The sequence below is a fragment of the Homo sapiens genome, chromosome 4 (genome assembly GCF_000001405.40).
Source record: "Homo sapiens chromosome 4, GRCh38.p14 Primary Assembly".
Lineage (NCBI taxonomy): Eukaryota > Metazoa > Chordata > Mammalia > Primates > Hominidae > Homo > Homo sapiens.
Genome location: NC_000004.12, coordinates 112,014,890 through 112,029,636, shown reverse-complemented (window position 1 = coordinate 112,029,636; position 14,747 = coordinate 112,014,890). Strand labels below are relative to the sequence as shown.

Here is a 14,747-nt window from a genome sequence, read left to right as displayed (position 1 = left end):
GAAATAGTACATTCTATTCTAGTCCACAGCACACCCCAAACACCCTTCTGAAGTTATGGTTGCACTATGAGCTTCCCATCAATACTGTGTTTTAAGGTTTGGGAGAAATCATGTTTGGATTTCTCTGAAAATAAGAAAAATTACCATGTCCTGTTAGGTTCCTTGAGTCATTGTACTGAAGTGACTATAGTCACTTAGTTAAGTAGAATTTATTTGCTGTTCTGTTTATTTGAGGTAGGGTGGGGTAGTGTTAAGATCAGAAACCCAGTCAAACTTCCTGGGTTTGAATCCAGGTTTGGCCAAGTGTAAGCTATGTGCTTTGGGAGAGTTACTTAATTTATTTCTCAGTTTGCTTATCTTTAAAATGGGTGGTACCTACCTCCTTGGTCAGCTATGATGATTAAATTAATATTTGCAAAGAGCATGGCACAGTGCTATTTGCTAAATAAAAATTATACATTTGGGTCTTTTCAATAATCCCATGAAGAAAGCAAGAAATATAGAAACAGAAGAGTTTTGCAACTGAAAAGACCTTAGAGTTTATCTGGTTCAAATCTCTTATGTTAAAGATGAAAAAGCACTTGAAGTGTTATTACTTAATAAAGTAATATAACTATTTAGAATCAAAATATAGTTTTCTTAATTTTCAGGCTGATTTTTTTTCTGCCACATCATTCTGATTTCTGAAAATAAATATAAGGAAGATGAATTCTTAAATAATTTTTCAGTTTTAGAACTGATAAATACAATAGAAATATTAGGAATGAGAGTTGTATAGATTATACAAAGGCATATCAATTTTCTCTAGTATCTGCTGCAATATAATTTTTCTACTAGCTGCATATAGAGCAAACCCCAAATACCTTAAATGAGATAGAAGTTTATTTCTCTTCTGTCTTGTTATCTGTGAGAGAAACACAGATAAGAGAGTCTAGGACTTTTATGGGGACTCTATGGTCAACAGAGACCTGGGCTCCTTCTGCTATTGTATTTCGCCATTCTATGAATGGCTTTCATTCTCAAGGTTACCTCTTGGTCCAAAATGGCTGTTGGAAATTCTACCCTCCCATCAGCATTCTGGAATGCAGGTAGGAGGAAGGGAGAAACGACAAACAGGTGTTCTGTTTTGTTTTTCAAATGTGAGTTAGTGTTCTTTCAACAGTCTTCTAGGATGCCCCATGTCACCTTTGACTTTATCTTATCAGCCAGAACTTAGACACATGTCATGCCTAGCTGCAAGGGAGACTGACAAGTGCTTTCAACCAATTAGCAATTAAAATTGTGGGTTTTCCCATTGAGAAAAAAGGAGTAATAGATATGGGGATGGTAACTGATATTGTTTGTCTGTGTCTGCACCCAAATCTCATCTTGAATTGTAGCTCCCATAATTCCCACATGTTGTGGAGGGGACCCGGTGGGAAATAATTGAATCATGGGGGTGGTTTCCCCTATACTGTTCTAGTGAACAAGTCTCAAGAGATCTGATGGTTTTATAAGAGGAAACCCCTTTCGCTTGGTTCTCATTCTTTCTCTTGTTTGCCACCATGTAAGATGTGTCTTTTGCCTTCTACCATGATTGTGAGGCTTCCCCAGCCAGGTGGAACTGTGAGTCCATTAAACCTCTTTTATTTTTATTTTTTTAATAAATTACCCAGTCTCTATCAGCAGAGTGAAAACAGACTAATACAGTAATTAACCATTTCTGCTACCAGTAGGGGTTCATTTTTCCATCTCTTTTCCTCTTCACATTTCTTTTTCTCTTGCCATGAATCCAAAAGAGCAGACTTGGACTAAGACAAACCACACATTCATGCAGGAGAAAAGAAAATTTCTCTTTCTAAAAAGATGTTGCATCCATATATTAGGATATTGCTGCAAGAAACAAGTCAATTCACTCTGGACTAGTAGGAAAAAAGAACTCTATTATAAATTAGAATGATATTTAATTAAAATCAAACAAAAGAATGAAGAAATTCTAAGAAAGATCAGAAATTGAGAACAAGTTGGAAATACAGGCAGTGTTTTCTTTCAATTTCTTGTTATTGTTTCTTTCTGCATATGATTCTTCTTTTTCTTTTAAGATCCGTTTCCTCTGTGCCCAAGGTCAAATTGCCAGTGAGGAACAAATTGAGATTTACACCTAGATCTTCTAACTCACACTATTATATTCATTATATTTTAAAGTTCTCTCCCTCCTCCTTTGACAGATAGCAAGAGGGTCTCTTTTCCTTACCGATTCACTGTCATCTCTTGATTATAGTCACTTCTGATGTATCTGACCACAATAACTGCCTGTTTGGATCACAATCCTCAAATCTGACATTCAGAAATGCTTATGGGTTCCATAATACCGCTTGGCATTGCACACTAAGCAATATTGTTCTTGCTCAAGTTCTTCTCTTCTCAAGCAATGTATCTTCATTGATATCAAATGTTTCCACTGCCACATCACACTGATGACTCCCAAACACACATTTCCATTTTAGACCTCCCTCCTGAATTCACGGTCCTTATTTTTGTATGATTATTGGTCATTTTTCATTTGAGTGTTTCTTAGTATCCATAGTACCTTCAAATTCAACACATCCATGATCTCATCTTGAATTCTCTATTTTAAAGTGTATCAGTCCAAGCATCCAATAATCTTCCTGCCTCTTCACTTCTGCTGTCAGTTAATTACAAAGTCCTTCAGAATCTGTTACCTAAAGCTCTTATTTCTTATGTGTATTGCCTTAATACCCTTGTAATCTTGTTTTTGTACAATCTCAGCTGCCTTCTAAATCTTCTCCCAGTCTTCAGTCTTGTCTATCCTCTGCATTGTCTCAAGAGTAATCTTTTAACTCTATAAACATGATTATGTCACTTCCCTACTTAAATTTCATCAGCATTTTCCATTTACCTGTAGAACAATGGCCAAATGCCTTGCTGGCCATTTAAGGCTATTTATTATCTGATTTCTTCTTACCTAGCCAATCTCATCTTGGCCTTTTAGAACTATCTAAAATTTCCTAAATAAAACAACAAAGTTCACACTTCTGTGATATTGCACATGATTTTCATTTCCCTTCACCTTAAACACCCTTACTCTTCTCAGTCCTCTTAGTGAGCTTCTACTCACCTTATGAAACTCAGTTCAAACATCAGTTCTTCTCTGAAGGCCTCTCTGATCAGCACGCTGTCTCATCTCTTCATACTTTCCTCTATTTTCCCTTTAGAAGTTAGTTTCTTTCCTTTGCTGGGTCACATAGCATGAATATTTAAAAAGTCAGAGGAACAGACTAAAGCAGATGCTACAGTTTTCTTTCAATGTCTAGTCATTCCTTGAGTAGTAAAATGATTTAATTAGGGCATATGGTTGCCCTACTGAGAGCTACACTTTCCAATCTGTCTATGCGGTATGGCCATGTGACTGAGTTCTTTGCCAGTGGTTTGTGCACAGAACAGTGTAAGCAATTTCTGGAACATGTGATTTAAATAAAGGGTTTGCCCTTGCCTTATCCCTTTCCCCTCCCTGCTGACAGGAATGTGGGTACAATGAGCCTTTTTTGGTGAAATAATTTTATTTTTTGGTGAGCACAGACCGTTTTTTTTTTCCAACTTTTATTTTAAGTTCAGGGGTACGCATGCAGGATATGCAGGTTCATTTCATAGGTAAATGTGTGCCATGGTGGTTTGCTGCACAGATCATCCCATCCCCTAGGTATTAAGCCCAGTATCCATTAACTATTCTTTCTGAAGAATGAGCCATTTTTGACAATAAAGAGGTATGCAACACACCAGGATGGCAGACCAGTAAGGCAGAAGAGGCCTTGGTCCCTTCTAGTACGGGTTATCGTATGTGCCCTGGACTGCTTACAGTAAGACTGCCGTGTGATAAAGATACACTTCTTTATTGTTTAAGCCCCTGTTATTATTATTATTATTTTATTTTACTTTAAGTTCTGGTATACATGTGCAGAATGTGCAGGTTTATTACAAAGGTATACGTGGTGGTTTGCTGCACCTATCAACCCATCGTGTAGGTTTTAAGCCCCACATGCATTACTTATTTGTCCTAATTGCTCTCTCTCCCCTTGCCCCCCAGCCCCTGACAGGCCCTGATGTGTGACGTTCCCTTGCCTGTGTCCATGTGCTCTCATTGTTCGACTCCCACTTATGAGTGAGAACATGTGGTATTTGGTTCTCTGTTCCTGTGTTAGTTTGCTGAGAATGATGGTTTCCAGCTTCATCCATGTCCCTGCAAAGGACATGAACTCATTCTTTTTTATGGCTGCATAGTATTTCATGGTGTATATATGCCACATTTTCTTTATCCAGTCCATCATTGATGGGCATTTGGGTTGGTTCCAAGTCTTTGCTATTGTGAACAGTGCTGCTATAAATATACATGTGCATGTGTCTTTACAGTAGAATGATTTATAATCCTTTGGGTATATACCCAGTAATGGTATTGCTGGGTCAAATGGTATTTCTGATTCTAGATCCTTGAGGAATCGCCACACTGTCTTCCACAATGGTTGAACTAATTTACACTCCCACCAACAGTGTAAAAGCATCTCTATTTCTCCACATCCTCTCCAGCATCTGTTGTTTCCTGACTTTTTAGTAATTACCATTCTGACTGGTGTGAGATGGTATCTCATTGTGGTTTTGATTTGCATTTCTCTAATGGCCAGTGATGATGACAAGCCCCTGTTATTTAAGATATTTGTATCCTAATACAAATATTATGATATAGCAGGTCCTATAGCCTAGCTAACATACCTGCTCCACTATGAGACTATAAAAGGAGTTCATATTTATCTTTGTATACCTAACACCTAGCGCAGAGCCTAAAACACAGTGCACCATCAGGAAAATGTTTAGAGCAGAGATATAGTTGTAAATGGATACAAGTTACAACTTAACTGTGAAAAAAAAGGTAACTTAAGCTTACTCAAGTCCTCATTTTCTGTTGATGAGGACCAACTCATTATTGTCAATTTAAAGTAACTAGCATTTGCAGTTAAACTTTAAGTCTCTTTTGGGTAACAACTTAGTTAATTATGATTCTGCAATCCTGACCATCCTGGCGGGTGGTGATGGTGCTTGTCTTGTGTTTCTTTCTGGCATGGGGAGCCAGCCACCTGGCCTGCTGAGCCTCCTGGCCCCAACCCAGGTGTCACTGATTTCTCCTGGTCTTGGGCATTGGCCTCTGTCCCTGCTGCTGAATCCACACTTTATCTTGGCCTCTAATTCTTATCCCCACTGCACGGCCTTTTTGGGGTTTTGAATCCCAGTCTTGTCTGACTTCCTCTAAAGTTGTGAGGAAAGCTGGCTGCTGCTTTCACATGTGGCACTCCACATCATCTGGAGTGCTGGGGCTCTCTGAGGAAGCTCTCAGGTCCATCTGCCTAGTCACCCCTTTCAGCCACTGCTATTTCAGATCCAATGTGGGATGGAGGACTTCTCTACTCAACTTCTGAGTTATACTCCTAATAGCTAGGCAATTATCCTTCTGTTCTGGGATCTCTCTCTTCAAACTTATCTGGGATTGATCCCAGAACAGAAAGATCATTGAGAAGGAATCTGAGACGCTATCTCAGATTTTCATCAGTATATGCAGAGATGTCTCCCACCCTCCAGTCATTCCTCCTAATCATTACTTAGCCCAGAGAGATGGAGCATGAGGCCTTTTTCTCAGGCATAGTCTCTATTTAGACTCTAGTAGGTCACCCTTGATTCTTCCTTTCCCACAACTGGCTGACATATAGTATCCTTTGTGTTGGAGAAATTGCTTGTCTTTCACGATGCAGTTTTCCTCAGTCTAAGGCTTATGGCATACACTTCAGGATGTCAGTCTTCCAGACTTTGGCTCTTTATATGCAAAACCAAGCTTTTTGTGATTCGTGTTGCCTTTTTCTCTCTTAAAACCCTCTCTCCTGGTTTTTAAGGCAACTGGGTCCAAGATAAATTGAAAACAATAAATGAGTTCAGAACCTCTGTTGACTTTGTCATTCTCTTTCCCTTTCCCAAGATAAAGAAGGCCATTGCCAAAGAGAAGTGTTGCTAGGGAAACCTTCTGTTATTGCAAAATTATAGTGTTGTAGCAGATTCATTCATACAAAGAGGTTGGTTTTTGTATACAAAACAGCATGATATTATATTTGCTTGTGAAAGATATAAAAACACTTCCCACCCTCTGTCTTCCCATTTCCTCAATAGCCCAAACAGGCTGGAAAAGCAAAAGAGGACCAGAAACAATACTCTGAGTTCACCAAACTATTTTATTTTTTTCCTGGGCACACAGGAAGACATATATTTCCCAGTAGCTCCTGGAGTGTGGGTGGACTGTGTCACTGAGCTCTACAGATGGAAAGTGAGTGGAAGTGACGTATAGCACTTCCAGGCATGGCCATTAAAAGTCTCTGTGTGATCTTCTTTGCTCCTTCAACCACATGGCAGGAAGAGAAGGCCTTCGAGATGGTGGAACACACAATGGAAAGAGCCTGAATCCTGAGTTGATCACTTGGAGGAGTTGTTAAAGAGATCTCTTGGCCAGGAACTTGAGCTCTGGATTTCATATGAACAAGAGTGTTGTATTATTGTATTAAGCCACTCTGACATTGGGGTTGTTTATTACAAGTTAGTGTTGAATAATTTTTCTTCTTAGAAAAATTAGTACTTTTTCTAAAATTACTTTAAAAAGAAAACAGGAATTGAAGGATTAAGAACTGCAATTAGAAAAAAGCTATTGAGAGGAGAGAAAGAGGGAAGTTGGAGTTGGGTAACTGTCTTGACTGGGATCCATGGCATGGATGATCGGAAGAGAGAAGTTCTTGGAGGTGTTAATGGCTATAGAAACTTTAAGAACTAAGATGGCTAATAATTAGTTAAAATGTTTTTAAAATGTAATATCTGATACAAAGAAAAGAATGTATAGTGATTTTAACTTTGAAGCATAATAACAAATCAAACACTTGTGAACTCACTCCCAGCCTAAGAACCAGTACATTATCATTGTTGTTGAAACTGTAAGTATATGGATACATTTTAGAAACATGATAAAGTAAGGCAAGTCTCAGAAGATTATGTATTAAGTGATAACTTTTTTTATGAAGCTCAAAAAAGGCAAAATAAAATAATAAGGTATTTTTGGAACCATACATGTTTAATTTTTAAGTTGCTATTAAACCTTCAGTGAAACTTTGTTTGAATTTTGTTGGTATTCTGGGATTAATACCATAGTAGTCTCAGATATAGTAGGGAAAACTTACAACATGCATTAAAGTTAGAAAATTATGACAAAGTGGTAACTGGAGGACAGAGATTATTAGAATCAACATAATCTACCCCCTCAGCCTGAATCCCTAGAGATACAGAAAGATGGATTTCCTATCATAAGTGAAAGAAAGATTCAAATGAATAATTTGGAGGACTTGGGGACATCCAGGAGCTGGCACCTGGAATATAGTCGAATAAATTTAGCTCTTTTTTTTTTTTTTATTTCATGCCATTGCCACAATTAAAAAAACAGGTTTTTACTTTTGATCTGTTTTCCTTAAGAAACTACAAAGTTTCTGAGAAGGGTGAAGGAAGAATACTGTTGGTGAAAGCAGTCCTTGTAAAGCCCATATTTGACAAAGTTGACAATTTTTTAACTATTGTTTAAAGATAAAATTCATTAAATGCCTACTATATTGCAGTCACTGTGTAAAAGCGTTTACTCTTCCTTCCCATTCTTGCCATATGTTTAAGGTCTTAATAGAAGCAATGCTTGACAAACAACTACAGTCATTCTTTTTTTAAATTGACAGTGTGCTAATGGAGGACCTGAGATAACGTGGACTATTATCACTGAGTCTTTATCAGAATCTTTAGAACAGAGGGGCAGGCACTCTTCCCAGTGAAGAGTGGCTTGGCACATTGTAGCCAGGGTGCAAAGACAGTCTTTCTAAGAAATTGGTGGTTTTGCTGCTGCTCAGCCTTTTTTTGTTTGTTTGTTTTTGTTTTTGGCTTATGCTGCCCTTACCTGCAAAGGGGAGAACTTATAATTCAATAGAGAAGGACCAAGGCTGGCATGAAGGGGTAGCCCACTTCTGTCCATAGCTTGTTGTGTTATCTTGGGCATGTCACTTCACTTTTTGAAGTCTCTTTGTTTTTTCATCTGTTAAGTGAAGAATACTAATACTGATCATAGTACATTTTGTAAAAATAAAATAAAATAATAGATACGAATAAACTTTATCAACTCTAACATATTCTGCAAATATAAGAGACTCACAATTAGAAAGCTGAGGAGGATTACACTGAGTGAGACATGAACTGGACCCCAAGGCCTTTGAAGTCATTTCCAGGTCTAATTTTTTTTCGATCACTAAACTAATATTTATTGAGCATCTATTAAGCCAAGTATTGTTCTAGTCATTTGGGATACATCTTTAAGAAAGCAGCCACAGATTTAATTTGATGAGTCTTTACCTTATAATCTTTGCATAGATTTAATTCTAGAAAATGCTAATGGAATCTGGAAACCTTGATATAAACCTAAAAAATTATGTTGTAGAGAGAAATAGTATAAAATATTTAAGCCGTTAGAATATGTTTTTAGAAAAATATCTGATTAACTGTGTTGACCTCACATTAATGTAACTTTCCTGAAGTGCTCTCCTACTTCGAGAAATTTCCAAATCCCTTCTTTTATCAAGAAAGTTATAGGAAAGCTGACCAGGATAAGGTACCCTGTTGAGATAGATGTTGTGTGTATGTCTCTTTAAGGATGAATGAATCAATGACTCCTCTGAACCAGCTTGAGACATGCCAAAGAAAACCCATTTTCGGACCTCACTTTAAATCTAATTCCATTTTTGGATAATATTCTAACCTGTCTCTTTGTCTTGTTCTGTTTAATTTCCTTAAGCTATTTCCTGATTGAGAACTTTGATGTGTACAGCCTGACATCATAAAATTTTAGCAACAGTTCTTCCATTCTATTATTTTCTGAGAATGTCCCTCAAATCTTCTCACAGAAGATGTTCTAGCCTTTGAGGCTGACATTGACTCTCATTCTTTATGAGAATCTGAACTTCATTCTTTATGAATTTGCTTCTGGCCAAATTTTAAATAAACTTTGACTTTTCAGATGTTCTGGAAGAGGATGTCTGTAATCCTGCCCCTGTGAGGCACTGATGGTGATGTGCTACACTCTGTCCCACATCAGCCTTTTTCAACCCTAGTTGTATTGGTAAGTAGCATTCATGAAATTCAACTGTTTCCAGGACTTTAGGTCCTGTCCTCATTTAGTCCTTTGGGAAAGTCTTTTGAATAGAGACAAAGGCAGATTAGCCCTACTGATTTTGGTCAGGTATTTGGTATATATCCCAGGAAAATTTTTTTCCCTATCCAAACACTACTTATTGATAAAACTACTTAGCATGTTGCAACATATGTGTACTTCTTACTAGTGTGTGGGCAGAGTCCTTAGATGTCTGGAACTGACTTAAAAATCTTGATTTCACATATTCTAAGCATCCTTCACTGACGTAGTAATTTTAGCAGACTAGCAGACAGCCTTTTGTGGCTTCTATGATCCCCATGCCTTCGTGTAGTCCCCTGTCTCCTCTCCTTGAGTGTGGGCAGAAACTGGGATTTGCTTCTAGGCATGTAGAATATAGCACAGGTGACAAGATGTCTGTGATTATCTGTATGTGCTCATAAGCATAAGATGTTTCATAAGACTGTAATGCATGTCTGACAAGCAGATTCCCTGTCCTTTGCTAAATTTGATGAAGCGAGTGGCCATGTTGCAAGCTGCCCGTGTAGAGGGTCATGTGTCGGGAAACTGAGGTTGGCATCTGGCCAACAGACAGCAGGAAGTGGGGACACCCTGACCCAAACACCTGTAAGGAACTGAATTTTGCCAATAACTGTGTGAGCTTGGAAGTGGGTCCTTCCTCAGCCAAGCCTCACGTAAGACCACAGCCCTGGCTGATAATGTTGATTTCCATCTTGTGAAACCCTAAGCAGAGGACCTAGCTAAGCTGTCTGCAGAAATTGCATCTACAGATCTACAGAAACTGTGAGATAATAAGTGTGTGTTGTTTTAAACTGCTAAATTTGTGGTACATTTTTATGCAGCAATAGATAACTAAGAAAGAGACTAAAGCTTTGAGACTGACAATGATCTGACAGATCTCTAACCACAGGAAAAACAGGATTGGAAGTTGCCTAGGAATCATCTAACTAGGTGGATATTTTATGAGTCAATTAGGAAATCTTGGACAAACAGCCTTAAACTACATTAGAACTACATAGAACTACATAAGAACTACATAGAATGATCTAACATTGCTAAATGGCAGTCTATGTGATAAACACAGGAGAAAATATTCATTACTTCTCATGGCATTCACAGAGGTTTGAAAACAGGCAAAACTTTACTAGGCCTCAAATAATGGTTAGAAATTGCTTCAGTGGTCAAAGTTGTGGGAGAAAGGTGTCTTTCATTTAGGATAAATAGCGTAAACAAAGGTGACAGATGTAGCAATGTATTTGAGAGAAAAAGGATCAAAATGTCTTCATGATCCAGAAGTTTCAGGAATGGGATAGAGTGGGATAGTGTGAGGAGCATAGTAGTTAAGGAATACGGATATTATCTTGTGGAATACTCCTTTTCTTTTCTTTTTTCTTTCCTTTTTTTTTGGGGGATGGATTCTCACTCTTTCACCCAGGCTGGAGTACAGTGGTCCGATCTCAGCTCACTGCAGCCTCCGCCTCCTGGGTTCAAGTGATTCTCCTGCCTCAGCCTCCCAAGTAGCTGGGATTACAGGCATGTGCCACCATGCTCAGCTAATTTTTTGTATTTTTAGTAGAGATGGGGTTTCACCATGTTGGCCAGGCTGGTCTTGAACTCCCGACCTCAGGTGATCTGCCCACTTCGGCCTCCCAAAGTGCTGGGATTACAGGCTGGCCTGTGGAACACTTTTTTTTTTTTTTTTTTTTTTTTGAGATGGAGTTTCACTCTATTGCCAGGCTGGAGTGCAGCAGTGGCATAATCTCAGCTCACTACAACCTCCGCCTCCTGGGTTCAAGCAATTCTCCTGCCTCAGCCTCCCGAGTAGCTGGGACTATAGGCACGTGCCACCATGCTTAGCTAGTTTTTGTATTTTTAGTAGAGACAGGGTTTCATCATGTTGGCCAGGATGGTCTTGATCTTTTGACCTTGTGATCTGCCCGCCTTGGGCTCCCACAGTGCTGGGATTACAGGCATGAGCCACTGTGCCGGCCTGAACACTTTTAATACAGGATAAGAAGCCTAAAGTCTATCCTTTCAGTCTGTGGTATCTGCTCCCTTTCCTACCCTAACCCAAGGAACTTTGCTTTCATCTGTTTCGTGTATTGGGTTATTTTCAAATATTTCATTTAAACAAAGGGTTCCATGGCTAAAAACAATATGTGAACTTACTTTGGAAATGTGGAGCCTCTTATTTCTTTTGAGCAGAGTTGTTATTAAATTTCTGTTCTGCAATTCATCTGGCTATACTTTTCAAGTGGCATTGAAAGAAGGATAAATTGAAGTTATGGGGACCAATTATAAGGTTATTGCAGTTATTTACTCTCTGAAATGGGTTCATTGATGTAGGCAAAACAGGATTTTGCAATAGGATTTAGGGATTTAATTGTGCTTAGCCCAGAGCCTTGCACACTTGAGACTCTCAATAAATGTACATTGAATTGTAGAGATTTAACAATAAGAATCAAATCCAGACAAAACAAAAAATTGCTAGAGAAAATGTTGTCGATGAACCACATTAAAAAATACCACTCTTGGAGGGGAAAGTTGAATGGAGATAATCCATAAAGATAACAAGAGATAGTTTTTTGGCCATTATGATGAAAACTGTCATTAGAAGTTTGATATTATAACATTAACTTTTGCTAAGAAACAAATTACTTTACTATATGAATTTCCTAAATGAATTTTCTTGCAATAAATCATAAACTCTTTGATATGCTTTACTAAGTAAAATCTGCAAAGTTCTACGTTATGTATTGTTATTTTGAAAGTCAAAGGGAACAAAATTATGCTTATCTGAAGTTTCCTAATGCTCATTAAGACTAACAAAGCAAGGCTGAAAAACCAAGAGAAACAGCTACATCACCAAATTAATAACCCTCACAAAATGATAGCCATCAATTATTTCTTTGTTTAAGAAAAGGAGTGAAGTTTTTAAAGATAGTACCTTAAAAATAAAACATATTTTCTGGGAATATTCAATATGAATAAGGAGTATTTTAAACCAGAATCTCCTTAGCCTTCTTAATTAAAGTTTTCCAGTTATCTTTTAAAGGGATTTAGAATACATAGGGATTTTTTTTCTTATTTTCATTAGCTTCTAATTAGCAACAACACCAAGTTTACTAAGTAAATATATAAATACCAGCTTCTTGAAAATAACTTTATCTTTCCTGGAACTTGGAATAGTGCTCAGATCATCATAACACCCAATGCATTTGACTGACTGATGTTCGAAAGCACAAATAGATGCCAGATATGGTTACACAATTTATCTTGTTTGTGGAGTGTGGTGGTAATCTCTGCAGTCTAATTCTCAGTTCATTTCTTCTCAAACATTTTATAAAATACATCTCAGAAATAATTAGAAGAATATGATTTAAGGAAAAAAAGTCTTAATCTAACTTTTTTTCCCTATATTTTCTTTCACAGTGTCTTCAGAAAAAAAATCTATAAATGCGTAGGTTTTTTTTCTATTAATTATCCAGCAGTTTTTGAATTTGGGTGACTCCTGGCTTATATCTGCTAAATAGTGATTGCTTTCCCGAGAGGCTAAGAATATGAAAATTTTACAACCCAGTAGATGGAAAAGTGTCAAGGCTCTAAAGACACCTTCTGAGTCCTACTATGTGAAAGAAAACAAATATTTCATATAAAATATATGATCTTTTTCCTTTAAAAAACAACTTTTAAAATGTACTTTCCTTTGATAAAAAACACAATAGCAATAAGTAATAAAGGAAAATAATGAAATGCTGGAAAGATTGATGTAACCTGATGATAAGGAAGATCGGATATTTGGACCAAAGGACTGTATATGTTACTTTTGATGCCTAAACTTAAATGACTAAAAATCATTATCTTTCAAAACTTTGAAACTTGTGTGAAGGCATGCACATATAATTATTGTGGTTGAATGTTATTTTTGTTCTTACTCAACTTTCTTTTTAGTGTAGCTCTCCTATTATTTTACAAAACTGACAATGTTGACAAGATCATCTTTATGGGTATTTCACTTGAAATGTGGGAAATTGATCTGCAATTCAAAAAAGTTAGTAGGAAAGAACAATCTGGAAGCCAATAGATCCTTTAGAAATCTCAAGGTGACTGAGGACAAAAAAAAATCAGATAAAATCCAGCAATGATGGGTGAGATATCCAGGCTATTTTGGGCTTTACATCAGGCAAGCGGGCAACAGGTAGCTCCCATCCACAGGGTGGAGAGGCCATCACTGGAGATCACATTGCAGTTTTGTGAATTCTTAGAAAAGAAACGTGGAGGAAATCCAGAAAGGAGAAATAACAGTGATAAAGAGAACTAAAGTATTGATTTGTGAGGAGACATTAAAGCCGCTAAATGTCTTCAGCTGAGGGAAGATTAATTGCATATGTGTGAAGCCCAAATGAAGAGAGGACATTTTTAGCTTAATATGCCTATAGTTAAAAAAGAGATGATTTTCAAGGAAAAGTTCATTTCAAGGAACTTATTAGAAGATACCTCAACTTTTTTTAATGGAAATATTAGTTTTGACAAAGCAGTAACTGTAAAAATGACTTATAAAAATAAACATAAGAATACTTATTGAATTACATTTCAATTTATATAAAAATTTACAATTATTTTATAAATCCTTGTTTTCATCATACTTGTCAGCCATAGACTTTCAGGAACTATTAAACAACATTTAATTATGGAAGAAAAAGAAAAGAGAAAGAGTCTTAAGTTTCATTAGTTCTCAAACTTTTGGTCTCAGGACTTCTTTATACTTTTAAAAAATATCAAGTTTCTCAAAGAGAATTTGTTTTAATAAGGTACAGCTATTGGTATTTATCATATTTGAAATTAAGCATATGACAGTTTTGACATTTATTTATTACTTTCTTAAAAATAATGATAATAAACTCATTACATGTTAACATGTAGAACATTTTTTAAAAATTTTACTTTAAGTTCCGGGATCCATGTGCAGAATGTGCCAGTTTGTTATACAGGTATACGTGTGCCGTGGTGGTTCACTGTACCTACTGACATCCTCTAGGTTCCCTCCCCTCGCCCTCCAGCCCCCAACTGGCCCCAGTGTGTGTTGTTCCCCTCCCTGTATCCATGTGTTCTAATTGAATAGAACATATTTTTAATGAAAAGTAACTATAGAGGAGAAGAGTGGCATTGTTTTACATGCTTACAAGTATCTATAATGTCTTGCTTAATAGAAGATAGTTGGGGTTCTACATTTACTTTATTGGGATTTTTTTTGGGAGAAGTATATGTAGAAAGTCCAGCCTCACACAGAAATGTAAATGGAAAAAGAGAGGGCATTTTTCTAGCTTTTTCATATAACTGTGGATATTCTTTTTGATACACACTAATACTTAAGAAGTTGTAGTTTTTTATGGGTTGGTTGCACTGTGGAATCTGACACCACCCCAGTAAACTTTTAGGGCTCTGTAACATTAAAATTCATTGGTCTGTCTTG

At 37.0% G+C, this 14,747-nt stretch overlaps 1 long non-coding RNA gene across 4 annotated transcripts in view; it reads left to right on the top strand.

The window, feature by feature from the left end:
• The window catches only part of LINC02945 (long intergenic non-protein coding RNA 2945), a 308,805-nt gene that overhangs the window by 82,634 nt on the left and 211,424 nt on the right, over positions 1 to 14,747 (top strand). The window contains exon 2 of one of the 4 annotated variants that reach the window (NR_186681.1): positions 9,122 to 9,223. The exons of the other annotated variants lie outside the window; for them this stretch is intronic. This is a non-coding gene — a long non-coding RNA (long intergenic non-protein coding RNA 2945). The remainder of the gene's footprint in view (positions 1 to 9,121; positions 9,224 to 14,747) is intronic. 4 annotated transcript variants of the gene reach the window in all.